Below are 26,338 nucleotides of genomic sequence, written 5' to 3'. Positions count from 1 at the left end.
AAGGTATGCGGGGGGCAACGGGCAGACAGCAAGCACTGCAAACACCACACCCACCGCACCATTCCACTAGGTATCTGTTTTCTCACCTCACTCTTCTAAGTTCTAAGAAAGCCCCCACTTGCCTACAGACAGAGGCAGAAAGAAAGGAGACAAGACACCAATGCAATCACTTGGTTCTTGGGTATATTCTGTACTTCATGACATCGCTTCATCTGAAAGACATGCTGTGGCTATTCTCTCAGGAGAAACAAGGCGCCTTCAGCAAAACTGCAGTACAATCAGCACTGACAAGGACCCAAAGAATTACTAACACTCCATTTCTTTTCATGAGAAGTCAAGTAATTGCAGCATGTTTTAAAGATATCAAATTACTACATAACTACTTGTAACAAAATCACCCATCCACCATACGGTATTAAAAAGAAATCTACTGTTTTACAGAAGAGGCCAAACCCAGGCGCCCAGCCTCTGGTAGGCCTCCTCACCATTCATACCATGAACACTGCCGGGTGCATGTGGGTATCCAGCACTTCTGCCCAGGCAGCCCAGTGAGACTGGTTCTCTTTCTCCCTCTGCCCTCCTTCTCCTTCCAGTTCATCTCACCCTTCAGCCTCCTGTGATGTTCCGAGAGAGGTGCTTTCCTGCAGGAGGCTGGGCCTTCAACCCATGGCCTCAAGTACCCCTAACCCGTCTCCCAGGGCCACTGACTGAATGCCCTCCAGCCCTTGAGCCCTCTTCCCAGTGTCTTCCTTTTCACCCCAGTCGTGGGCTCTCCCCACTTCACCTCACTACTACCCTTTGTTGTGCTGCTGTCAAACAGCAGCTCCACGAGGGGTACCCAGGCCAGGCCACAACAGGATGGGGACCTGCTCTACCCCACAAACACTCAAAACTGGTGAGCAGCATTTCTCAAGACAGACAGTCCGAGGACAACAGGCGCCTGGCATCAAGGCCCCTCCAGACAAAGGCAGGCAGGCTTTGGGGAATGGGCTCAGCCTCACAGAGAAGTGATTCTCGGCACCACCAGCCCCTAAACACCCTTTGCCAGAAGTGGGGCCTCGTTTGCTAACTAAATACAGAAGGAACCAGCCCTGCCAAATTGCAGAATTACAGGGAAGGGGAGAGTAGAAAGAAAAGCATCTCCCCATATTATACGCTTGTGCTTACAAAGAAGCCTACTGTTAGAACTCTCATTTGGGATTTGGTCTAAACTAAAGAGACACACAGAGCAAAGAAACCCTGAGTAAGACAACTAGCTTGGTCCTCAACTTAACCCCAACTAGGTTTAACCAATAGATACAGCTCCAGTTTAAAATCAAACAATTACCTATATGTGAACCTACAAAAATACCTGCATTCATACCTGTATATCTGAGTTTTCTTTTAAGCTGAAAGCTCAGCAACTCTACACAGAAACAGAACCAAAAGGATCAATGGAAGCTTTTGTCCTCTCCAAATTTTACACAATGAAAATATTTAAAGCTAAACTCCCTGACTTAAGACCGCGAGATGGAAGTAAGGGAGGGAGCACACTGACTGACTCTAATTTGAGAGAGGTAAGAAGCAAGGATGGACACTCCCCTCAGGTATCTGCTCCCCCTAAAACAAGGCCCCCGACCACAGTGCTGCCAGAGCCAGCTTCATGCTCCCAGGTTTCTGTGAGTCCCATTCTTCTGAATAGACTTGAAATGACTCTCACTTGGTAAACAACCTGCGGCCACCTGGCTTTTAGTTGTAACTATTCTAACTCATGGGGGGAAATGTAGTTTCTGAAAAAAGTAGGGAAAAAAAATCAGTGAACAAACGTTATTTTGGGACACAGACAATAAAACTAATAAAGCATCTTTCATTCGCAAAGTACACATTACAACATTTTTAAAGGATAAGATAATAGACCTTAAAAAGAGCATATTGAAGCAAAAATGTGGTTAAACAGCTTCCATACATTTGTCTTTGTAAAATAAACATTTGCTCCCCGTAAAGCCACCCTACAAATGAAAAAGCAGTGGTCATGTAATAAACCAAAATGTTTGTAAAGCAAATGAAAGAGACCACGTATCAGCAGATGTGCTCAAGGCAGCACCGGGTGGTACGAGGAGCCCGGGGCGGGCACAGGGGGAGTGGGACATGCTATGTGGACCACTCCACTTCCACCCACGTGGAAATCAAAGCAAACTTCACATGACTTCTAGGCCAGCTGCGTTTATTTATTTATTTTAAGATCAGCTGAATTTAAGACTGAAAGGCCAGCTGTGTTTAATACAGCAGCACTGGCGGGAGAGAGATAAGGCTTTGGTCGTACCACAGAGTGATCGTGAAAAATAAAGGACCTTACCTCCAAGCATCACCACCTAAGAAAGCAGCTCCTTCAGACAGTATAAAAAGAACTTGCCTTTATTTCTGGGGGCCCAACAGTGCTCACACCCACAGTTCAACAGTGACAGGAATGCAAAAGTCCTTTCCTTTGCATAAACAAGAAATTCATGATGGGGTTATTTTTTCCATACAGAGACCAGCTCATTATTTTTAAAATGCATCTGCCTCGGAAATTTACACAAAATAGGACTACAAGGTGCCAAAGTGATGTGGGTACTTGCAAGAGAACTTCACAGAACTATGAAACTTACTGAAATGAGTACAAGAAATAAAATGCTAAACGAGGTCAGTCAAGTACAAATGCTGCTTGTTAAGGATTTTAGAAGTCTGTGTTCTACTCTAAACATGGAAGATCTCATAGTTGCTAAATACTAAGAACTGTACAAAGAAAAAAGTCCACTGCATGTTTTTCCCAACTTCAGAGTCGACGCAAGCTGTACGACTTTGAATGGTTTGGGAGAGTTTTTATGCATGCTCCTGGAAAGAAAATATGAATTTTCCAAACCCACCCTCCTAAACTAGAGGCAGCTCAACTAAGAAAAACCCCTGACTCTTGCAGAAGCCTCTTACTGCTGTCACGGGGGCATCACTCACTCTGTGCTCCCAGAAGACCACCCACGCAACTGAGGTTCCGCCACCATTTCTTCCATTAGCATGATGCAGAACAGGCCAGCTCACCTCCTACATCAGAAAATGCCACGGACATGTCCCATGACTGACCTTGCAGAGGCAGGGCCTGTGACAAGAGACCAGCAAATGGCAACATCCAAGCCCCATTGCCTGCACCCCTCCGAAAGCAAAGGAGGGCACCTCCCGGCGTGGCCCAGCTGGTGCGCTGCAGCCTCACACGAAGAAAGTCACTGTGCGGCTCCCCAGACAGAGAATAAGCCTGGGACTAATGCAGCCACGGATTGACAGTGGCATGAGTTCTATTATTACCCCATTATCACTCTGGGATCTGTGCCTAAATGAAGCATGCTTCCTCCCTGATGCCATTTCCTTTTATCCTGGCTGGAGACTAAAAGCGGATCAATGGGGGCAATACATATGATGTCACTTCAATTTACAGCCACGGCCTCCCCCTCTCCAGTCTGTCTGAAACACACAGAAAGATCAATTCTTCCCAAAAATGGTTAAAAAATGCTTAGGGAGCATTCTTCTTCCAGAAAAGCATTCTCTGCTATATTTGTCTATGTTACTACGCAGGGAACTGTTTACATGGAACAAAAACAGAAGAAACGGTGGGGGTGGGGGAAATCTCAAATTCTGTATGCTGGAGACTTGCTGGCTGAAATTCAACACAAGCAGGGTCCTTTGAAAGTCACATGCAGGCGGCCTTCGGGCAGGGGCACAATAGAAACCAGTTTTCTTTTGCCCCTTGGATTAAAAAGGTGATCCCACTGACATAAAATATCTTTCATTTTTATCAAGTTCCCCCAAAGGCTGACAAATCCCCTTTCACTCTTCCCAGAAAACACACCCACCACCTTAGCAGACCCTCAGGTTGCCCCTTCAGTCCACAGGAATGGGAGGAAACAGCTTCTAATCACACAGTGCCCTCATTAAAGGAGACAGAAAGCTTGGCTACAGGACACGAGACAGAACTTATAAACTAAGTCATCTTCCAGACTCGGCTCTGAACCAAATAAAACACAGTGAAAATCTATACGCTGCATAAATTTTCACATGGTGCTTTTTGCCAATAAGGCAAAATTAAGATATAATCAATGAAGTTCCTCAAAACAAAACCAAGAGTTCTCCCTCCTCATAATCCAAAAAGAAACAGAAAACGTTCAGAGCCACAGAACCCAGGTGCAGTCACCCCTTACTGCCCACACACTAGCCAGGCCACAGTCTTCAATAAATGGTCTTCTTCCATCTGTTACTTTTTAAATGATAAACATTTCTAAGAAACAAAAGTAGACAACTTAATAATACATACACATATCAGGTGTCTGCCCAAGAGCCTGCCTACTAGGATATCATGACAGAAATGAAATATATTTATTCTAAATTAGTAATTTGTATAATGGAAAAATACAATTGGTTTGAATTGCTGCTGAAAACACAATTCAGAAAAGAAAAACCTTTATATGTTGAAGCAAAAACTTAACATATTTTAAAGAATTGCCGAAACTTACAAGTAGAAGTCTCTACTGTTCACATTATTTGTGGGGCATAAAATTGGATTTGCCAGCAAAGGAAGCCACCAAATAATTAAGAGGAAAAAAATTTTCTTCAAAATAAAGAAAATCAATCAATTGGTGCATATTTGTCTAGCAGAATCAGTTATTTCTGATTATCAAACATCTTTAGGGAGTATGTCTATAAACAAATTTTGGAAAGAAAATTCAAGTAGCAGCAAATATTCATATAGCTCATTTTATACAAAGAAAAGCATATTTATTAGATTTTTGGGAAATTCTAATAGTTACAGTTCAAAAAGATTACTACAAACTTTGAGCCATGGTTTGCTTGTGGAGTTTCTAAAAGTGGCACCACAGAACCTAAAACAGACACATACCATCATTCGCAAATACTATCTGAAATAATTTACTGGCATAAATAATTCTCATGTTTCCAGATTGTAAGTGTCAAATGTTCCCGTGCTATTATTCCCCTAACTCTTGTTAAAAGCATACACTATATGCAATCTAACACAAAGCATATTATTTAAATGATGAAACATGCAATCCTCTGGTCAACTGGATCTCTTACAACCACGTGTACATTAATATTTTATGTTATTATATATGTTGGAAGCATCATAAACACTCAAATTGAAAATTTCCAAGTATTTCACAAGAGATGTGTGGGATCCTTGTGTCCACCTCCCCAACCCCAGATCCTGCCAGACCAATTACAAGGGGCCAAAGGGAAAACATTCCTGATCTATGCTTCTCAAGAAAATAATCACTCATGAAAAAGAAACTAAATTCCTAAGTGATTCTGTCTATTCACCCTGCCATGACAACAATGGCATGTTCAATATATGCCTGAATATTTCTAAAGAAATTGGAATACTTTAAAGTATCAGAATATTCCTAACTTTTCTTGTATTCACATTTTCATAAAAATTTCCTTCTTTTTGTTTCCTTAGAATTAATGCTTTTGCCACAAGTGGTAGCTCACACCTGTAATCCCAGCACTCTGGGAGGTCTAGACAGGAGAATGGCTTGAGCTCAGGAGTTTCAGACCAGCCTGAGCAACACAGTGAGACCTCGCTCCCTACCCACCCCCAAAATTAGGTGTGGTGATATGCATCTGTAGTCCCAGCTATTTGGGAGGCTGAAGTGGGAGGATCATCTGAGCCCTGGAGTTGGAGGCTGCGGTGAGCTATGATTAATCCAGTAGACTTCAGCCTGGGCAACAGAGCAAGACTCTGTATCCAACAACAACAACAACAACAACAACAACAAAAATGAATTAATGCTCTTACCTAAATTAATAACAGTGTACGTAATATACTTGTTGTATTTATCTTGAAGGAGAGTATACATTTTATAATTCTGAGTTCCTAATTTACAAACAGTGACATTTGCTAGCTCCAATTCTAGTTATACATTAACTTATAACCCCCTAAGGCCCAGCATATGAGTATACCTTTACTGTAAAAAAACGGTTGGTTGAGTATATGAATCAAAACATCCTATATGGTATGTAGCCATGCAATGGAATACTATGTAGCTATTAAAAAGAATGAGATGGAATTATTTTTGTAATATAGGAAGATGGCAAGAAATGTTTTTAGAAAAAAGGTTCAGAATAAAATGTAAACTATGGTTCAATTTGTGTAAATTACATTCTAAAGATACATAATAAGAAAATAAGGAATGCTTTGTGTCAACTGTTTCTCCGAGTAACCTACCTGAACTCTCTGGCTTCCCCTCTGTCCATTTTTCTGCTTCCAGCTGAAGCTGAAATATTTTTCTTAAATCATGCTACAAGTATTTCCTAATAATTCACTTAAAAGAGAGATCTACTTTATGAAGAAATTCATTACCACAACCAAACCTAAGAACACTGAAAATAATTAAAGCATGTGCTCTAACAAAGTACTGAACCAGGCAACTGGAAACCAGGGGTTTCTCTAAAGCTGGCCCGGTAGGTATGGGAAGACCTCCTAGCACTAAGTGTGCACCGAGAAACCTATCATTGTCTCTCTAGTCTTAGTCATAACATTTTAACATTGGTTCTGTGCAAGCAGCAATCAAGAACTGGAAGAATTTAAAATTTTCCAAATATTCTGTAAACAGATATATAGGAAGCACAGTGTCAAACAGTCACATGCTCAGGTTTTTAGGCTGTTACTTACAATACTAACAAATTATAAAATATATTCAGATTTTTTTTCCAAGGGAAAAAACCAGTAATTTCATCCAAACCCAGAATTTCTTCCTTTCTATAACTTCCTATATTACTCCAATATGTCAAAAATCACAATCAGATGGTCTGTGTAGGATTATTCATTACAAATTTAGTAATTTTAGTTAATAATTTATCAACACGATTCTTCTTTGGTTAAATGTTTTTTATACAGCCCTATATTCCTGGTGAATAGTAATCTATACTATGCACAAAATTACTGTGTTCATATGGACAAATAGGCAATCATCACTAACATTCAGTGTGATAATATGGTTTTTCCTCTAAATTAGAAGGGATTAGCAAATGGGGAAAAAACTCAGCTCTTACAGAAAATACCTATCTTCAGAATTTTATGTACAGAAAATAGGATCCTCTCCTTTTGAGTTTAAACAAGGAATAACCGAGTTCAAAGAAAACTATATTTTAACTTCTATAAAAGGAATATACATTTTTAAGGCTGTGTCTTAAATACTGGAACCAGATTTTGCTCATGTCATGTGCTATCTACCCCCATCCTTGATAGTCAAATGTTTATCACATTGAAATAAACGACTTAATGCCCAATATAGTAAGAAGAAATAATAAGGTAACAATGTCTGCAAGAATAGCTGTCAATTAACAATCTGGTGATTTAAAAGAATTTATTAAAAGCAAATTTATATAGCAACACATGAAAATTCAGACCAGGAGTGGTTCTCATTCCTCAACTAGAACATATCTAAAAAATACAAATTTATCAACTTAAAAAGTTTCATAGGCCAGGCACGGTGGCTCACGCCTGTAATCCCAGCACTTTGGGAGGCCGAGGTGGGCAGATCACGAGGTCAGGAGATCAAGACCATCCTGGCTAACACAGTGAAACCCTGTCTCTACTAAAAATACAAAAAATGAGCCGGGTGTGGTGGCAGGCGCCTGTAGTCCCAGCTACTTGGGAGGCAGAGGCAGGAGAATGGCGTGAACCTGGGAGGCAGAGCTTGCAGTGAGCCAAGATTGTGCCACTGCACTCCAGCCTGGGCAAAAGAGTGAGACTCCGTCTCAAAAAAAAAAAAAAAGTTTCATAAACATTCTTTACAGTACAGATCTGGTTAATTATTCTTCATATTTAAAAAGCTAATGGTAAAATGACTGAAAATGCCTCTTTAATTATAACAAACTGCAATCAATGAAATGATAGCTCTGCAATTTTTTAAAAAGCAAATAGATGGGCTGTATGAGGAGTTATAACAATCTAGTTTGCTTTATGTGCAAAAACTCAACTGTATGTCTTAGAAAGATCTCTCCCTTTGCCTTCCATAGTCTCCTTGTTAAAACTTACTATTAACGATTAAGGGTTTTTTAAAATCAAAACTCACAGTTAAAAAAAAAAAGTATGGCTGGGCACAGTGGCTCACTCCTGTAATCCCAACATTTTGGGAGGCCGAGGCAGATAGATCACAAGGTCAAGAGATCGAGACCATCCTGGCCAACATGGTGAAACGCCATCTCTACTAAAAATACAAAAATTAGCTGGGTGTGGTGGCGCGCACCTGTAGTCCCAGCTACTCGGGAGGCTGAGGCAGAAGAATCACTCGAACCTGGGAGGCGGAGGTTGCAGTGAGTCGAGATCACGCCATTGCACTTCAGCCTGGGCGACAGAGCGAGACTCCGTCTCAAAAAAAAAAAAAAAAAAGTAAGCCACAAAAACATTTTAGAGATAACAACATAATAGTTGCTAAGTGAGAAAAAGAATAGCAACAGAAGGACAGAGAAACCAAGTCAACCACTCCGATCCTCAGGTGAGGCAAGTGATTCAAGTATGGACACACACATACACTCTTAGCAAATTCTGAAGCAGGAAACATAATTTATAAATTATTTTCACTCTTGGGTATTTATTCTGGAGTCGGAAACACTAACATTCCATTACTCCCAGTTCCTGTCCTTTCTTGTGCATAGACACACAGTCAAGACAACATAAATATTTTTTTGGTCACATTTTATTTTCTAATATTCTTTATTTTCTACCAAATCCAAACTAAGCATAAATTTTAGCCACATGTCTACAATTTGTCAGGTGGTTTCTGCCACCAAGTTGACAAAGCAACCTGTCCATTTGTAAGGAGAGCCGACCACAACTAAGGAGCAGGGGGGAGGTGGTGAGGTGAGTCCAACTACATGAAGGATTGCTGGAAAAATAATGGAAGTTGTTTTCATTTAATAAAAATGTGTGGAGAGTACTGTACAATCTCCTATCCAAAGTTTCAGTTTTATTTCACAGAATGATTTAATGTCTACAAGGCATAGGAGTCACATTTCCTCCAAATTCTGCAGTTTTGGATTCTCGTCCACACAGTTTACACACTAGATTAACTGTGAAAAGTGTTATGAGGAATAGAGCAAAGGATTAATTCCTTAACAGCCTCTTGGACATGTAAGGAAATTCATGCTACTGAAAATAAAATGGATTTAATTTCAGGAGAACAAGGGCAGAAGTCTCAGATTTCAAGAAATGTTTAATTTTCCTACATTACATAGGACAGAAAAGGCTGCCTTGCCAATGTGTGAGAGGTGATGCGAACAACATCGAGTCTGTTTGCCCTTAAGTTACACATTTTGCACAAATAGCTGAATAATTCATTAATTTAGATACTGCCCATCACGACAGAAACTATTTCCAAGGAAACAAGTAGACTGAAATAGCGTTATAAAAATGTTCTTTTATGGCAAAACGTCACTTTACTGCTATGAGTTTAGACATAATCTTAGTTCTACTGTGAGTTCCAGCCTGGACCCAGAGCCTGGAGCAGCCTGAAGTTGATAGGGGAGCAGGGGATCTGAAATGCGACTTTGCTGCCAAAAAAGTATTCTCTTACATAATTTCAAGTACTTGATAGTCAATCAACGAGTCTTCAAAAATGCAAAATGGATACTCACAAGTGGTGGTTAACTATGGATCTAAAATCCTGGTAGGTCTTTTCATAGGCGTTGGCATGAACATGATTAAAACCTAAGATGTGCTTTCTAGCAATAATCTAAATTCTCAAATGTATGCAAGACTTCAGGAAATTTGTTTAGAAAAATTTCGCAAAAATGGTTAAGTTTTAGAATTTCTAGTATTTTTGTATCTTCCTTTACATATGTAAAATGTGCTCCTATAAGAAAAAGTATTTTATTGGAATTTTACTTTGATGTTAAAATGTAACATTTCCTATAACTTCCCGAAGTTACAGGAATAACATTTCTGAGCTTTCTGATTATTTAAATTTTAATGGAAAATAGTCTATAGAAAACCATACTTTCCGTCCCTCCCCTCAGTATTCCCATTTATCTGCAGAAATAAGAATTTATCTTTTAAAAAGAGGCTAAAATGAAACACAGGCTTTTAATTGTTTTTCTTATATAAATTAAGCTGAAAAAGAAAAACTTTTAAAAATGCTCCTGTGGCTACTGCTTGCATCCCGCATTTTTACAGAATTTCCCTTTAACATATCAAAGTTCCAACAGAGCAACTATAATCTCCACCTTTACTCCAAAGTGAAGCTTGACTCCTTTAAAACAAACCAGCTTGAAAAACCAGTGAGCACAGATCCTCAAAAAGTAAAGTGGATAAACAAACTTTAAAATTTCTAAGAACCACTTTTCTGCTGATTTCACAGTATAGATTCTCATCTCGGAATTTAACAAGTAAGAGCTAACTCTGACAGAGAAATGTTTGAAAACTCACAGGCTGCTCCTCTCTGTGGAGCCCAGCCCTCTCCCCTGGAGCCGGAGTCTAGAGCAGGCTTCTCCCGGCGGCAGTGCAGGCGAGGTCCCGTCGGGTGAACGCGCGCGTGGCTGCAGAAATCCCAAGCCTGAGCCCGCAAGGTATGTCACTTTCTCCCTGCTGGATTTGTCCTTCGTGTGAACTTTCTTGATAGCCCCAGAACGTGTGTTTGCCTGGCCTTTTTGATTTGAAGGCCTGGTAAATAAAACACGCACGAAATCACAATTCCGACGCCTATGCCCTTGAATCACTCTGAATTTAAAAGGTTTACCGCCAGCTTGGAAGCAAGAAAGCACAAGCAGTAGCCACTCAGCAACGTCCCAAAGCGCGCCCGAGGGACATAGCAGCCCCGCTCCCGTCCCTGCGTGTCACCTGGGCGGCGGCAGCGCGGACTGGGAGCCGAGGGCAGGCGTGGGCGGAGAGCCTGCGCTGTTCTGGTCCCGGCCGCCGCGGCCGGAGGGGTGGGCCGTGGTCGGTCCCGGTGCTGTCAGTCTCCCGGCCAGGTCCCGCGCCCGTGAGTATCTCGGCCGCCGGCACCTCGCCCCGCCCCTGCGCCCCAGGCCCCGCCTCACCCCGCCCCGCCCCGGATGGGCCGCTCCCACCCGGCAATTAGGCAATTACTCTAATGAGAAGTTCTCATCTCAGCACTTCAACAAGGTACAAACCAGCCCCAACACAGCCGGCAATTCAAATGGCTTTGAGAACAAAGGCAGTCATAGCTGTAGCAATTTCTCCTCTCACTTACACAATGTGAGGACTTTCTCTCTTTGCATATGGTATTTAAGAAAAAAAGTTTAAAACTATAGCATACATGCCATTTCACAAGGATATTAGTATTACTGTGGCAAAACATCAGACCTGGCCGGCTGCAACTGAAAAAAAAAAAAACTTACCAATAAATACATAAATAAATTTTTAAGTTTGGTCCCTCCTGCAGAACAAATGTTCCTGGACCACCTGGTGGAAATCAGCAACATGCTGAGGTGTGAGAGGACTGTTTTCTTATAGCTTATATCATGTGAATAAAAGAGCAACAAACCACCCAGGGCAGCTTTCTGTAAGAATAAACAATTTATACAATTCTTAATCAGCACTGGTGGAGGTCGCTAACTGTTCACACTAAAATCAGAAAAAAACAAAATGCCAGAGATAAGTTTTCTGTATGCAAGGACAGCTTTAATGGTTAATTACTGGTATCTTCATCCTAAACAACCAGAACATTTGCATGGCAAACAAGAAACCCATCTCATTTCCAATCTTGCAGCAATCTCAGTAGATAAAAGTCACCAGAATCGACCCCAACAACAAAATCAAAAACTCCAACAAGGATTAAGAGGAATGTGATTTATTGAGAATAAGTGAGAGGTAGGTATTCCTAGAATGCACTTCAATCAAAAACAGAAAGATGTGGCCCCAAACCACAGGATAGGGACCCACCTCAGGAAGGGAACTGATCAGGGCAGTTTTCCCTAGAAAACTGTAATAGTCCATTCACAAGTTCTGCATGTTAAACTCTTCATTCTAATTTAAAATGTAATTAGAATGTTGTAGATGAGAAAAATTATAATTAAAACATGCTTAGAAAAATAAAACATCAAAAACAAAGCCTTCTTATACTTTGACAATACTGATTTGATCTTTAAATAATCTGCATCCATTTAAAAGAATTACTGAACAAAGTTTACGTGAAAGGTTAAAAAAAATCAGGCAATGAACTACTGAATGGAGGAATATTAAAACCCCACCACTATAAAAACTTCGCATTAAATAGGCTGAGAGTCTTCCACTTTCAAACTGTATATTTTTCAAAAACAGATTTAAATTTTTAAAACACTTCAGGTAAGTATGGCTTTCAGTCCCATTCCATGCATTTATAAAATGTGAGCTAAAATATCTCCATCTAAAAGTCAAGAAAATCCTAAACTGTTCATGTGATAGAAAACTTAGTACCTTATTTTCTTACAAAATGCCATGTTTGGCAACTAAATTTGCCTCTCTAAATATTAATATGACAAATAGCTGAATACAATTTAAATTGTAATAACCACTTTAAAAGTTAATCCTTTTTTAAACAAGAAAATTAACAGATTTTAAGTTAAAACAAGCAGAATAAGAAACAATTAAAGTGAGTACTTTCAAATGCTAATATGTCTACCTTAACTTACAACTTTAGTTTCCTGAAGTAAGATGACATTCTTACATACTTAAAACTAAGAAAATCAGGTGTCTGGGAAGTAAAAATATAGAAATGACTCCCAAACACTTGTTCTGCAGATGAAATAAACACGGTGAGCAACTGAGAACCTAGGGAGAAAACTCCTTCAGAGAAAATGTAACACTCCCAAAAAACTTATCCTTCCCTATGTTCCCCACACTCCCAGGTCTAGAAGTCGTTCTTAGCTGGGTCGATCTCTTCGTGTACAGCACACAACACTCCCCTTTAAATGTTAAGAACACTAATAAGCTTTATGCATGTTTTCAAATGCATAAGAACATTACAATTAAATATAATTCCCTTAAAAATTATGTCAGTTTGAAAAATTCTTATCTACCTTTAAAAAACAAACATTCTTTAATGAGAGACAGAAATAAAGAAGTTTTACAAAATACACCAAAACATTCTTGGCAAAAGTAAATCTCCACTTCAGGTACCTACGCTATCAGCCTCATCGCTCACACAAACATTTTAGCATGTACTTTTAAAAGCAAAAAGCCACTGCCGATTAAGTTGGTCAAATTTGCAATTCTGCTTTCAACTAAAAGGTAGAGAGTAAGCCTTTGGGATAAGCCACAAAAGGTCTTGAGAGTATTTCCATTTCAGATAAGCAGTTCTCACTAACATCACAGATTTAACTTATCAAATGATTCCGACACTATTTGTTCACGCCATTTTTATAATCTCCATTTTGCTTTTCGGAAGTTGAATCAGTGGCCCTAGTCCACTGACATTTTTTTAAAGAACCCGTATCTGGGAACCCATAGCTTCCTTTCTAGGCCCAGCGCAGTCCTCTGCTGGCCAGCAGTGCTCGTGCCACCTGAGCACCTACCCTGCGTTCCTACCGTTGTTCAAAGTGGAGGTGGCGGCGCCTTCCCAAGGCATTTCCAAAGCAAATCCCCGAACACCACTCTCCATTCCGCAGGGGCCGGCAGCGTGATGCTGCCTGAAATCTACTGGTACTGCTCCCCTCTCAACTGGCCTCAAGTTCGTTTAATGAGGGTTAGGGGAGCTACGTTACATGGACATCTATCTGTCCCTGGAGCACCTCTGTGAAGGCTTAAAGCATGACCTATTTAAATTAGAAGCACGAGGACCACAATCATCCATAGAAAAAAAAGAAAACACCTGGCCCTTAGGAGAGGGCAGCTGCTGTACAGCAATCCTTGACACGAGTAACTGGTTCTGAAGCCAAGGCCCCAGGGTGGGTGCAAGGGTCCCGACCCAGAGCCCTCCGCGGAGAGGACCCAGCCACCAGCATCCTTGACCGCACTGGAAGGTGCGGGAAGACCGGAACAAGAAGGCTTTAGAAAAACTCAGGCGTGTCCAAAAGCCTGGCTCCAAAGCTGGGAGCACACCTAACACAAGGAGGTTTTAACAAAAGCAAGTCGCGCTGGACCTGGGGCCTCTCACCGACCCCTGTCCGCAGTGGACGCAGCGGAGGCCCGCCGGGTGCAGGGGCGCGCCCCAGCCTGCAGCCGCCCCAAGGCGTCCCCAGCCCGCATCCCTCCTGCGCCTGCGGAGCTGCACTGCCGGGACACGGGTCCGCCCGCTGCAGGCGATGACACTCCCTCTTTAAAACCTGTCGTCCTTTCCTCCAAGCACAGTGATTTCGCAGACGCTAGGGGCGCCGTTGGCTGGAGAGTAACCCGGACCAGGGTCTAATCCTGCCTGGCTACTCACCTTGTGACCTTGGGCACAAGCGCTGTGACGCCCAACTCTCCAGGGTGTCAGGAAACAGCACCGTCCTTGGCGCGCCCTTTCTGGCTAAAGACCCCTGTTTCTGAGCATGAATATAAAATGGGCCACCCTCTTCCCCACGTTCCTTCAACACCAACTCTGCACAGCCTGAGATGTGTGCCGAGAGGGACTGACGCAACCCATGATCCTACCAAATGTAACCCTCAAATGTAAACTACAGGTGCCAAGTAAGCTCTCCACTCTCCCCCTTCCCCCACTGCCAGCGCCTCTCTAGTGCAGGCCCTAGGGGCACACCAGCCCTGCCTTACCACCAGGTGGGTTCCCTGACTCCCACCCTGCACTTCTCTCTGGCTGGGGACTGAAACAGTGACATGTATGCCCTATGTGTGCAGGTCACTATGCTCATTTCCAGTCCCAGTCCACTCCTCAGCCCTTCAACAAACCTTTCTGCAGCCTTCTCAGCCCTCTGCCTGGAATGCCCTCTACTCAAATCACTATTCAAGGGGTCACGTTTTTCAAGAACCCTTCACCAATCTTACCCTTCCAGATGCAGAATTTGCTTCATGGGTTTTACTCTCATTCATTTTCACGTGGGCTGTTACGCTATTCTGCCATACAACAGAATTATCGGAGTGCTGCTGCGCATGATGCTCCCATTTCTGAGCTCCTTGCAGGTCTGGGATGTCTTTACTTTTAATCCCCCCTCACTCCCACCCCCACCTGCATCCAGCGGAGCCAGTTTTGAATTAATGTAACCTTCTTGTAGCAGGATCTAAGTTTCCATTTGTGCCCATTAGCAGTGATTCTTAGCAACTAAATGATGAAAATATGTTAAAATAGAATCAACTTTAAAAGACAAATTAAAAGATAATACTTTTTTTAAGCCTTGTACCATTAATTTCACAGGCAAAGAAAACCATTACAGGTAAATGTCTTATCTGTTTCAGGGACATTTTCCCTAGGAAGCTGTTGACAGCTTAACCTCGGCAGCTCTGCTTTATGCAAATGCAGATGGTGCTTTTCTCCCAGAGAACTTCGCACGTGTTATCTCAGTTGACTTTGCAATGGCCTTGTAGACAGGAACACATGTTACCCACAGTCTTAGATGACTGGGGAAAGAGAACACAGGAAGGTCAAGCCACTTAATACACCATATGTACACAGCGGTTACAACTATGTAAAAATTTTGCTGAGGCTGGTGGATCATGTGGGCCCACGAGTTTGAGATCAGACTGGGCCAAAACTCTGTCTCTACAAAACATACAAAAATTAGCCAGGCATGGTGGCATGCGCCTGTAGTCCCAGCTACTTGGGAGGCTGAGGTGGGAGGATTGCTTGAGTCCGGAAGGTTAAGGCTGCACTGTGCCCTCATCTTGCCACTTGTATTCCAGCCTGGGTGACAAACTGAGATCCTGTCTCAAAAACAAAACAAAACAAAACAAACCTAAAAATTATACAGATGTGTGCACAAAAAAGGATGTTTACAATGTTAAAACTGGAGTATCATTTTAACTGGAAGTTTTCCTATGTTAGTACAAATTATAAAATAAAAAATTTCACAAGACAAAGCAAACGATTAACTCAATTATTCACAAGTCAATAAAACTATAACTGAATCATTCTTTTAAATAGAAATGCCAATTTCCTTCAAACTAAAACCATAAATTAGTTTTATGTCACACTGAAAATTTCTCTTTATGTCAGCAGTTGGCATGTTAGCTATTACAGTGTAACAGAAACTTCATTTAAGCGAAATGCAAATGACTTTTTCTACTATAATAGCATATATCTGTATATGTGCATATACAGATGTATCTGTACATATATACAGATATATATGTATATATATATCTGTATATATCTGTATATATATGCACATATACAGATACATATGCACATATACATTTTCCTGATGGTAGTTATGAGAAGCTGTAAGAAAACTACAAAACTACTAACTACCTCCCACCTTTTCTTATTTTTGTGTAGATGAGGTGGCTGGGGGGTCTCAGTTTGTTGCCCAGGCCGATCTCGAACTCCTGGGCTAAAGAGATCCTCTTGCCTTGATCTCCCAAAGTGCTGACATTACAGGTATGGGCCACTGCACCCTGCCAAAAAACCCCTACCTAATACTACACTCTGTATTTGTCAACTATCAAACCCTATGAACTCCCCAATTCACTACCCTTTACATTATCAACATCCTCTGAGGTTGTAGGCAGGATAATGGCCACATTACCTGGCAAAAGGGAATTAAAATTACAGATGGATTAAGGCTGCTAATCAACTATTAGATTACCCTGGATTATACAGGTGGGCTCAACGTAAGCATAAGTGTCCATATAAGTAGAAAAGGCAGGCAAGAGAGAGAACCAAAAAGACAGCAGTGTGAGAAGGACTTGGCCAAACCATGCTAGCTTTAAAGATGGAGGAAGGGGCCATGAACCAAGGAATACAGGCAATCCTAAAAGCTAGACAAGGCCAGGAACTAGATTCTCTCCTAGAGCCTACAGAAAGAAAGTGCTGCGGACACCCTGACATTAGCTAATGAAGGCTGATGTTGGACTTCTGACCTCCAGATACTATAATAAATTTGTTTTAAGCCACAATATTTGTAGTAATTTGTTAAGACACAATAGGAAATTAATACATCTGAGTTCCAAGTTCCTCATAATCAATGTCATTGCTTCTTAGCCTGTTTGGTGCAACACCTAAGGACAATGACATCCTTTATTTTTATTTATTTATTTATGTATTTATGTATTTATTTATTTATTTATTTATTTATTTTTGAGACAGAGTCTCGCTCCGTTGCCCAGGCTGGAGTGCAGTGGCGCAATCTCGGCTCACTGCAAGCTCTGCCTCCTGGGTTCATGCCACTCTCCTGCCTCAGCCTCCCGAGTAGCTGGGACTACAGGTGTCTGCCACCACGCCCAGCTAATTTTTTGCATTTTTAGTGGAGATGGGGTTTCACCCTGTTAGCCAGGATGGTCTTGATCTCCTGACCTCGTGATCCGCCCGCCTCGGCCTCCCAAAGTGCTGGGATTACAGGCATGAGCCACCGCGCCTGGCCAATGACATCCTTTAAAAGCTCTTGGCTACACTTGAATTCATCAGTTTCCTTTTAAAAGAGGAAGGTTTCTTCCCGTTCCCTCCCAGATCCCTAAGTGTGCTGCTTTATAGATGATTTCAGGCTCAGTTCTGAAGGTTGAAGAGTTTGTTGGGTTTGGGGGGAGGGGAGAAAAGGCGGCTAGATAGGAGGTCTACGGGCCTTCTGGGTCCGGTTCTTTAACTGCTCTGCTGCTTTTATAGCGCCACGGAGGCCGAGGCAAAGCGTGTCAATGAAACAAAGGACAAACATGAAACAAAGCGCCAGGGGCCACCGCGTCTTGATCAAATCTAAGAGCGATTCCAGTTAATGAGTAACATAACCCCACCACCTTTTTCATGGCTTTAATTATTACAGCCGGTAAGAAATATTCAAGCCATCCCTGTTTAGTGATGTTTTATTTACCCCTAAAGGCTGAAGTCTTCATTAAGTGCAGAAGAGTTGTGTTCAATTCAACACATATGGTGAGATCACAAACTGGCTTATTGTACTTTTTTAGTGTCTCTCCCTCTCCACACACACACACACACACACACACACACACACACCCCCAAGGACTCTGAGTACACAGTATACAATCTCAATCTGGCAATATCACAATTTCAAATTACCACAAGGATGATTTTTTTTTTTTAAATCTTATTTCTGAATAGTTTCCTTATTCTCAATTTTTCTAGCACAAATCCATCTTCTCATAAGGCCATTTCCTACACTGATTAAAGCGCAAGTCACTCTTGCTACAAAGGAGTCTTTCTTTGGCCCCAAATGTTTCACTCACATACATGAAAACTGGCTAAGTTCCTGAATGGCACAGAGCCTTTTGGTTTGAGAAGCCTGACAAAATGTCTAAGTAGTAAAAAGAACTGGTAAAACGTGAGAGCCTGTTATTTATTGCAATTCACATATCCACACGATCAACAGCCATTACTTGCTTTTTTTTTTTTTGGAGTGTGGAGACTTAACTCTGTCATGGAACTCCCTGATTATGGTATTTTCTGAAGTTCACAATGTTATGTATTCTAAAGGGAAAAAATTAACCAGCCATGGCTTTCCAGGTACAATCTTTGAGGAAGGGAGACTGTTTACCGTGTTTTCTATCAGAAAAGGAATGTTTTCAGCTCATCTGCACTTGGATCAATATTTTTATCTTTGGGTATCATTTGGCATTGCTGTCACTGGAGCTGCAAAAAACATGGGAGGAGCCAGGATAACCCAAAATTCTCATCCTGCACTTTGCAAAAGAGAGGACAAGCTGGGTGTCGCTCTGTCATGTGTGGTCCCACCTCCAGGAGCTTGGGCCAGGAGGGAACTGGGAATGCCTATGCCCATCAGCAATAGGCGTCCTGGGGGCACCTGGTCAGAAAGACATAGAGGAGGGGAGGGAGAAAGGTCCCTGCTCTCCTCTTTCATCGCAGAGATGGAGACAACTTCTGAGGAAGAGCTGGAATCCTGGGGTCAGAGGAGGCAGCCCAGGGGGAAATGCACATGGCCTGGGCCTCAATGCCGTTCCTTCAGAAAAAGGGGGTTACCACGTGGCTCTGTGGTGGCCCCAAGGTGGGAAGATGAACTTGGCTTTGTGTCTGATCATCCACTTTATTAGCAGGATCACATATCGTGGGACACAGCCTTTCTTCCGCTCCAGTTCTCAAGAAACCATTCCTGATAGCAATATAATTCTAAATGTGAGTAATAAAATGCATAATAAAGAGGCTGGGCACTACATTTTACAGAGGATGGGAAAGCAAAGTTGATTTTGTACGTGCAACTGTTCCTGTCAATGGACAAACAAGCCTGTGGGAAGGGACTGGGGCAGCAGAATCCCCTGGTGTGGCTCTGGCCTCAGGGTCCCCTGACTGTGTGCCTCCTCTCTCCTCTACCTACTGAGGTCCCCTGGGAGGGAGGAGAAGCCACCTGTAACCTCTTGCTGCTCAGGTATTAAAGCAGGGCTGATGAGGCCTGTGCCTCTGAGCTCCTCAATGCCCCAATGCTATTTTTATTATGTTCCCAGAATTAAATTCAAATAGCATCTTTAACATGCTTTAGTTCTGTGGGAAAAGGAAACACATCAATCATGCAATAACTATAAAAATTTAACATCCTGAAACCTGTTTTTACAAACTCTAAATAAAAAGTCAGCAATCTTAGTCTGCCATCACAAATCATTGTTCTTGACAATAAATAATGATAGTGGCTATTTTAAAGATTTCTTAAAATTAACATGAAAGGTGAATGAATGAATGAATGAATGAATGAATGAAGAAACATGTCTATAGCAGGGATAAACAAATTAGCAAGCTCCTAAGTTGTTTCTGTTTATACAGCCTGCTTAAAGCTTTTGAGAGAAATATTACTTATGTTAAATGTATTTAATTATAGGATAGGAATTCCTTAAAACTATGGTCCAGTTTTATTTTTTGTTTTTGAGACAGGGTCTCACTCTGTCACCCAGGTTGGAGTGCAGTGGTGTGAACACAGCTTACTATAGCCTGGACCTCTTGGGGCTCCGGTGATCCTCTCACCTCAGCCTTCCAAGTTGCTGGAACTACAGGTGTGCACCATCACACTTGCATCATTTTTTAGTATTTTTTTTTGTAGAGATGGGATTTCACCATGTTGCCCAGGCTTGTCTCAAATTGCTGGGCTCAAGTGATCTGCCCGCCTCAGCCTCCCAAAGTGCTGGGAATACAGGCATGAGCCACCGCACCTGGCCAACAATTTCAGTTTTTAAAAAATTTTCCCATAGGTCTTATTTTTCTCATGCCCACAATACTACTTTTCTTTGGACCATTCTCAATTGCTCCATCTTGCTCAAGATGCAGACTCCAACAGCATGGGCCGATCCCATGTTAACTCCACCATTATGCTATTCAATATTTAAAGACATTGAACACATGCTCACATGTGTTCCATTTGACTTCTGTCCATCCAGAAGGCCCACAATAACCCTCTTTCAAACCCAGAGCTGGTCACTTTGGCACATGAATCTAAACAGTGCTTGGTATAACAGGATCATTTCGATTGCCAAATTTACTGGCAATCCTATGTTAAGCCCGCCTCATCTGTGAACTCATCGAGGTTATCCGTAAGTCCCAATTTCTAGTACAGATATTAAGCCACACCCCAGAACTGCTCCTATCACCTCCCTACTGGCGGCAACGGAGGCACTGATGAGCACCCTTTGGGTCAGACCTGTCCGCCTAGAAGTAACCTGGACTTACCGAGCTTGCTGCTAGCAATAAGAAGATGTACAACTTCTAAGAATCTTAATGTAAGACTAATTAAAAGAACAGGAAAAGAAATGAAATCTCCCTTAACAAGACTCGTTCCCTTGAGGAGATGCCTTCTCTTGCAGGGCACCTTGGAGGCAGAGCACACCTGATGTGCTTGCGTTGTAGAGACATTATCACTGTGCAACAAAAGAAGTTATTTATAGCTGCTTTGTCTTTATTTCCTAGGTCTAACCACCAACATCTCTACTTAGCCAGGTAGTGGCCTGGATTTGTTTGCTATAGTTACTGAGACTTGTGGCAAACATGGTTTATATCATTAGGCTTTTTATTGTTTCATTCTGTTTTGGGGGTGTGTATGTGTTTATATTCAGATTTAAAATGTGTGCAAGTTGCCTAGAAACCAAAGTGCAGAATTCACAACCTAATGCATGCTAAATTGCAGCTGCTGGAAAACATGTTCCTTCACCTACAGTCTGGGCTGGGCTCATTCCTATCTACCCTGTCATTCAAGTTTGATGGTATCTAGTTTTCCAGGGAGTTTGGTTTAGTTATATCATCACTTTTGGTATAACTGGAAAGAAAGTGTTTTTTGTTTTTCACCTTGCTTAAAAGCCCATTTTTTCTCCCCAGAAAACTTAGGTTCTTCTCCTGCATCAGGACAGTACATATAACTTTCGGTGTGGGAGACACAGGCTCAAGAGGCCGAGAACTTGCTTGCATGGAGCATGGACGGACAGACAGCTGGATGGAAGGTTTCTCACATTACTGTATTTCCCACACCGAGCACCTTTCATCTAAGGAGCTCCACACCATCTCATACGTGCCTGAGGTGCCAACCTTCCCCACCACGGCATGACACTCAGGGTCTCAAGGCAGAAAGCCGGTCAAGATCACTGTAAATTAGGAAGTGAAGCCAAATAAGCCCTTAGGAATGTATTAGCTTGCACTGAGAGGTACATTACTTACAGAAGCCCCTTCTACTGTTGCCGCAATTCTTCAGGAGTAAGCATGGCCCTTCCCCAAGAGCAGCTGAAGGCCCACAGACAGACGCTGAAGAGGAACAAATAGTGCTCCAGGGTTTTTCTTTTCAGTTTCACTAGCTGGACCATTCCTACTCCTGACATGCTCTTTCCTAAGTCCTTCAGCAATAAGAAACTGTGCCCAGAACAAAAGTTATGTTTTATTTTATGCCACAAAATTAGGAGTGGAAAAGAAATGTGAATATCTTATGAGAAAAAAATGCAAGTTAAACTTCCTGGAAAAGACCTGAATTCATCGAGCTTTGGTGCTTGTATACTATAAGCTCAGACAATAAAATTCTACCCACTCTCTTTAACTGAATGCGGTAATACTTTTGACAACAACTTTAAGGTGTCAAGGAGAAAAATATTTTTCATGGTTAACTGTACAGCCTATCATCTTCTATCAATGAACACTAATCAGTTTTCTGGCTGAAATAAAGAATGACTTCAGAAAGAGTTCTTAAGATAAAATGGTTAGGGATTGATAAAGGAAAACCACCCCCCTTTAAAAAATCAAAATAAAGGCTAAAAGGTGAGGTAAAAAAAAAATTATCCTGAAACTTCATAAAATAGCTATTTAAAACCAAATCAATAATACTGCTGTGAGGTCTTTTTAGAAAAAAATTAAAAGCCTCTATGGGTTTGCTACAATTTTCATGCCCACTCTTAGGCCGAAGACAGCTCATACATCTGTGGTGTTCAACTAACTAGCAACTTAGGTTCTGAATAAAAAGTACACAGAGATGTTACCACTTTCTGCAAGTAGCACACTGGAATGCATTATCTGCCACATCACAGGGAGCATCCATCCCATGACAATGACATTGTCAAAAGATGGCACACGGGCTGCAGACTGCTAAGGCAAGCTTGTGGCCAGGCTGGAAGACTGACAAGATGAAAAGATCTCTAAAAACCCACAGTCCCTTCAGGGTGACTTTAAGCCAAGGTGCCCAGGCAGCAGCTGTCCCTCCATCTCTCAGCTGAGCTATGCTTGGCCACCTCTGAAACAAACTATAGTTTTATTCCCCACAAAAAAAAAAGAAGAAGAAGAAAGAAGAACAAGAAAGGAGAAGAGGAGGAGGAAGAAGAGGAGGGCGGGGAGGAGGAGGAGAAATAAAACAAAACCCAACATTCTGACATTTACCGAAAGGAATGAAGTGCTGCTCTTGTTTATAAAGAGCAAGTAAACACATACTTTATGGCAGATATTTGAAGATAATTAAAAAGTAAGGAAACTTTTAAAAAAGATTAAATACCTTTAAAAGAGATGAAAGATTTTCTCTCACCCCAACCCCCAACTATGATTCTTGTCATTTAAAGGGCAACTACTATTAGGAATTTGTTTAAAAGTTGGAATTTTTTTTCCAAAGGCAAAGATTTAAAGCAAGTAAGACCTATCAGATAAATTCCATCTTCATGAATTATAACTTAAAGAAATAAAACATTTTATTTTCATGCTTTCAAATATGAAATGTTTTAAAATATCCTGAGAAATCAGTGGTAAAATCTTAAGAAAGCAGGCAAGATCAGTGGAAGATTCCACCTGTCCTCAAGCCTAGGCTTAGGGAAAATGAGATCACACAAGATCATATGCACATCCTCACAAAGGAACCTTTAAACAGGACAAAAATTCTTAAAGCCATGTAAATCACTAGACAGCAAAAATCTAGGGAGATTTAAAACACAAATATTTGCATAATCCCTTCTATTCAAGAAAACTCAGTGTGACCACCATCACGGAAACCTCTCCCGGGGGTCTACAGTCACCACCCTCAGACCTATTTTCTGGGTAAAGCATCTGAAAGCATGTGGTAGGAGGGAAGTCTGTCATAACTGAGTGAATGATTGGGGGCCGGTGCCTGCTTTTACTGACAAGCAAGTAAGGCCACACAGCAATTTCTTTAAAAAAAAAAAATTATCTGGGCTGGGCGCAGTGGCTCATGCCTGTAATCCCAGCACTTTGGGAGGCTGAGGCGGGCAGATCACCCGAGGTTGGGAGTTCAAGACCAGCCTGACCAACATGGAGAAACCTCGTCTCTACTAAAAAAAATACAAAATTAGCCGGGCATGGTGGTGCATGCCTGTAATCCCAGCTACTCAGGAGGCTGAGGCAGGAGAATCACTTGAACCCAGGAGCCGGAGGTTGCGGTGAGTCGAGATCGCGCCACTGCACTCCAGCCTGGGCAACAAGAGCGAAACTCCGTCTCAAAAAAAAAAAAAAAAAAAAAAAAAAAATTATCTGAAGCTGGTGTCAAAGAGATTTATTTTAAAAAACAGCAAATCACTAATACAAAGGAAATTCCTTAGAGATTTACTACCCACCTTAGATACCTTTACTTAGATTTTTCAAGATGTTCCAACTGGCCCTGAACTTGATTGCATCAAACTGTTAGGTCTGGCTGCTGACTGCTCCTACGAGATACATCACAGGAGCAGACTTCCCCAACATGCCAACAATTAATGTCCAGGTTCAGGAGAAAACTGGTATGTCATCAATGTAGGGATGGTTTTCTTTCAACCAAACACCGCATGTTCTCACTCACAGGTGGGAATTGAACAATGAGAACACACGGAAACAGGGTGGGGAACATCACACACGGGGGCCTGTCATGGGGTGGGGGACAGGGGGAGGGATAGCATTAGGAGAAATACCTAACGTAAATGATGGGTTGATGGGTGCAGCAAACCAACATGGCACATGTATACCTATGTAACAAGGCTGCACATGTATCCTAGAACTTAAAAGTATAAAAAAAAAAAAAAGAAAAAAGAAAAAGAAATGGTTTTCTTTCAAATATTAAATGAAATGTTGGGTGTTATTGGATGTCTTCCCACTTCTCTCCCAAGTTCATAACAAAACCTGAATCCTATCAATCAATCCAATGCAGCGATTAGAGGAAATCCCAGCAAGGCCCGCTTCTCAAGCTCCTCTTCTGAGAGATCTGTATCAGCAAACCAGGATCCGCTTTATCTCAGTGTGCTTCATGTTGAGTCAAAGACTGTCAGTTGATCAGAATTAAGAGCAAACTTGATCCAACCTTTCCCTATTAAAAACACAAGGGTATTTACATCTTCCAAACAAATGCCTTCAGCCCATATAAAAACTGATGAGCCAAAATGAGGCCTCGCAGGCCACTGTGTGTGATTCAAGGGAAAAATTATTAATATCCAAGTAGAGTTTCATGATTATCTCTCCTTTTCAAATTGCTTCAACCTCAGCCCTCATGTCATTCCTGACCCATGTATAATTCTCAAATTATAACAAGCATAGTCTCAAATCCTCTCATCTAAATGACCTGTACAGACACTTAAGTAGCATTTACCCATTTGGTAGATTCTTTGGTATTTCCTAATACTATTCTATCAAACCCACCTATATTGCAAGGAAGGAGAAAATGGGAGAAAACACGTCTTAATGGGTGTCTGGGTCTATTTTCCCTTGTCAAAGATCTCCTTTATGAAGACACCTGTCCAAATTACTATATAAAAGTACAGTAAAAATAAAGTGGAAGCAATCGCTACCTACATCTTGGCTTCAAGCAAAAAACAATAATATCACTATGTCTCAAATATAACTGAAAACTCCCTTGTTTTCAAATAGGTACCCTGGAATAAAGCAGTATCAACGTCAGGACTCAGAACCAAACCTCTAATGGAAGACAAGGCAGGGATGTGTCTTCAGTACGTCATTTAGACAGCAATTCTGTCATCATCAATGACCTCACAGAACTAACAGCTGACAGCAAAGCAAGGGGAGAAAACAATATATAAGATTTTTAAATCTCCACTGGGTTAATCAAATAATATAATTTGATATAAATTTATTTTCACAGTATCCCCAAATTTAACTGCTCACAAATGAAATTGGGGATGTTTAACTTCTGAATATACAGAATGATTTCTGTGACTTCTATATGTAGAATCCTTATGTATTTCATACTCTTATTTCTATAATGTTACAAAAGAAAGTAAATACGAAACACTGTATTGTGATTTGCTGAACCCTGACAAAGACTGAATTCAGAGATAATTTTTAAATGTCAAAAATTTCCCATGTGGCCTTTTTGATGAAAGACATATTAAGTAGAATACAGGCTTTATTATTAATTATAGCGTCATATAATTAACCTACTACTTCATTTTTACGAAGGAGGAAACTTCAGTTAGGGAACTGTAGCTTCTTTAGAAATGGAACCTTTTCTAAAGAAGGTTCTAAATGGAACCTTTCTAAACATGAAGAATCACACCGACTGATGGAGACAGAACCACATACACATGAGCCTATCAATTCTGGCTCATCATATCACCTATCAAAGAATGGTAGAGAAACACAACAGGGAGGGAGGAGAGGGAAACTGAATGAGTACATTTTGCTGGAAGGAAGGAATCACCACTTGGGGTTTTAGGGGGTAAGAGAGGAGCATGGAGAGACATGCTGAGCACACGGCACCAGAACAAACAGGTGGAGGAGACGTTAGTACTAGAAAGAGGAACAAAAGTACAAGAGAAAAAGGCGTAGAACAAAAGAAGAGGTGAAATGAGGACACAGCGGACTTATATCTGTTTGGCCAACTCTAG

At 41.4% G+C, this 26,338-nt stretch overlaps 1 protein-coding gene across 35 annotated transcripts in view, besides 2 other annotated features; it reads right to left on the bottom strand.

The window, feature by feature from the left end:
- The window catches only part of AOPEP (aminopeptidase O (putative)), a 423,526-nt gene that overhangs the window by 90,722 nt on the left and 306,466 nt on the right, over nucleotides 1-26,338 (bottom strand). The window contains exon 14 of one of the 35 annotated variants that reach the window (NM_001386076.1): nucleotides 7,369-8,392. The exons of the other annotated variants lie outside the window; for them this stretch is intronic. Coding sequence (NP_001373005.1) covers nucleotides 8,309-8,392 — 84 coding nt within the window. The 3' untranslated portion in view covers nucleotides 7,369-8,308. Of the gene's footprint in view, nucleotides 1-7,368; nucleotides 8,393-26,338 lie in introns of those variants that run through there. 35 annotated transcript variants of the gene reach the window in all.
- Nucleotides 10,747-11,106: a silencer, noted in NCBI's record as "silent region_20062". NCBI's record gives its function as "represses an Ori minimal core promoter by ATAC-STARR-seq in GM12878 lymphoblastoid cells {active_cell/tissue: GM12878}" and the evidence as "EXISTENCE:reporter gene assay evidence [ECO:0000049][PMID:35858748]".
- Nucleotides 13,848-14,613: an enhancer, noted in NCBI's record as "H3K4me1 hESC enhancer chr9:97807172-97807937 (GRCh37/hg19 assembly coordinates)". NCBI's record gives its function as "activates a minimal SCP1, AML or CMV promoter by ChIP-STARR-seq in naive and primed H9 embryonic stem cells {active_cell/tissue: H9 hESC(naive and primed)}" and the evidence as "EXISTENCE:reporter gene assay evidence [ECO:0000049][PMID:30033119]".

Source organism: Homo sapiens, chromosome 9 (genome assembly GCF_000001405.40).
Source record: "Homo sapiens chromosome 9, GRCh38.p14 Primary Assembly".
Classification (NCBI taxonomy): Eukaryota; Metazoa; Chordata; class Mammalia; order Primates; family Hominidae; genus Homo; species Homo sapiens.
Note: the sequence above shows the minus strand (reverse complement) of the source record. Positions and strands in the feature narration are given on the sequence as shown.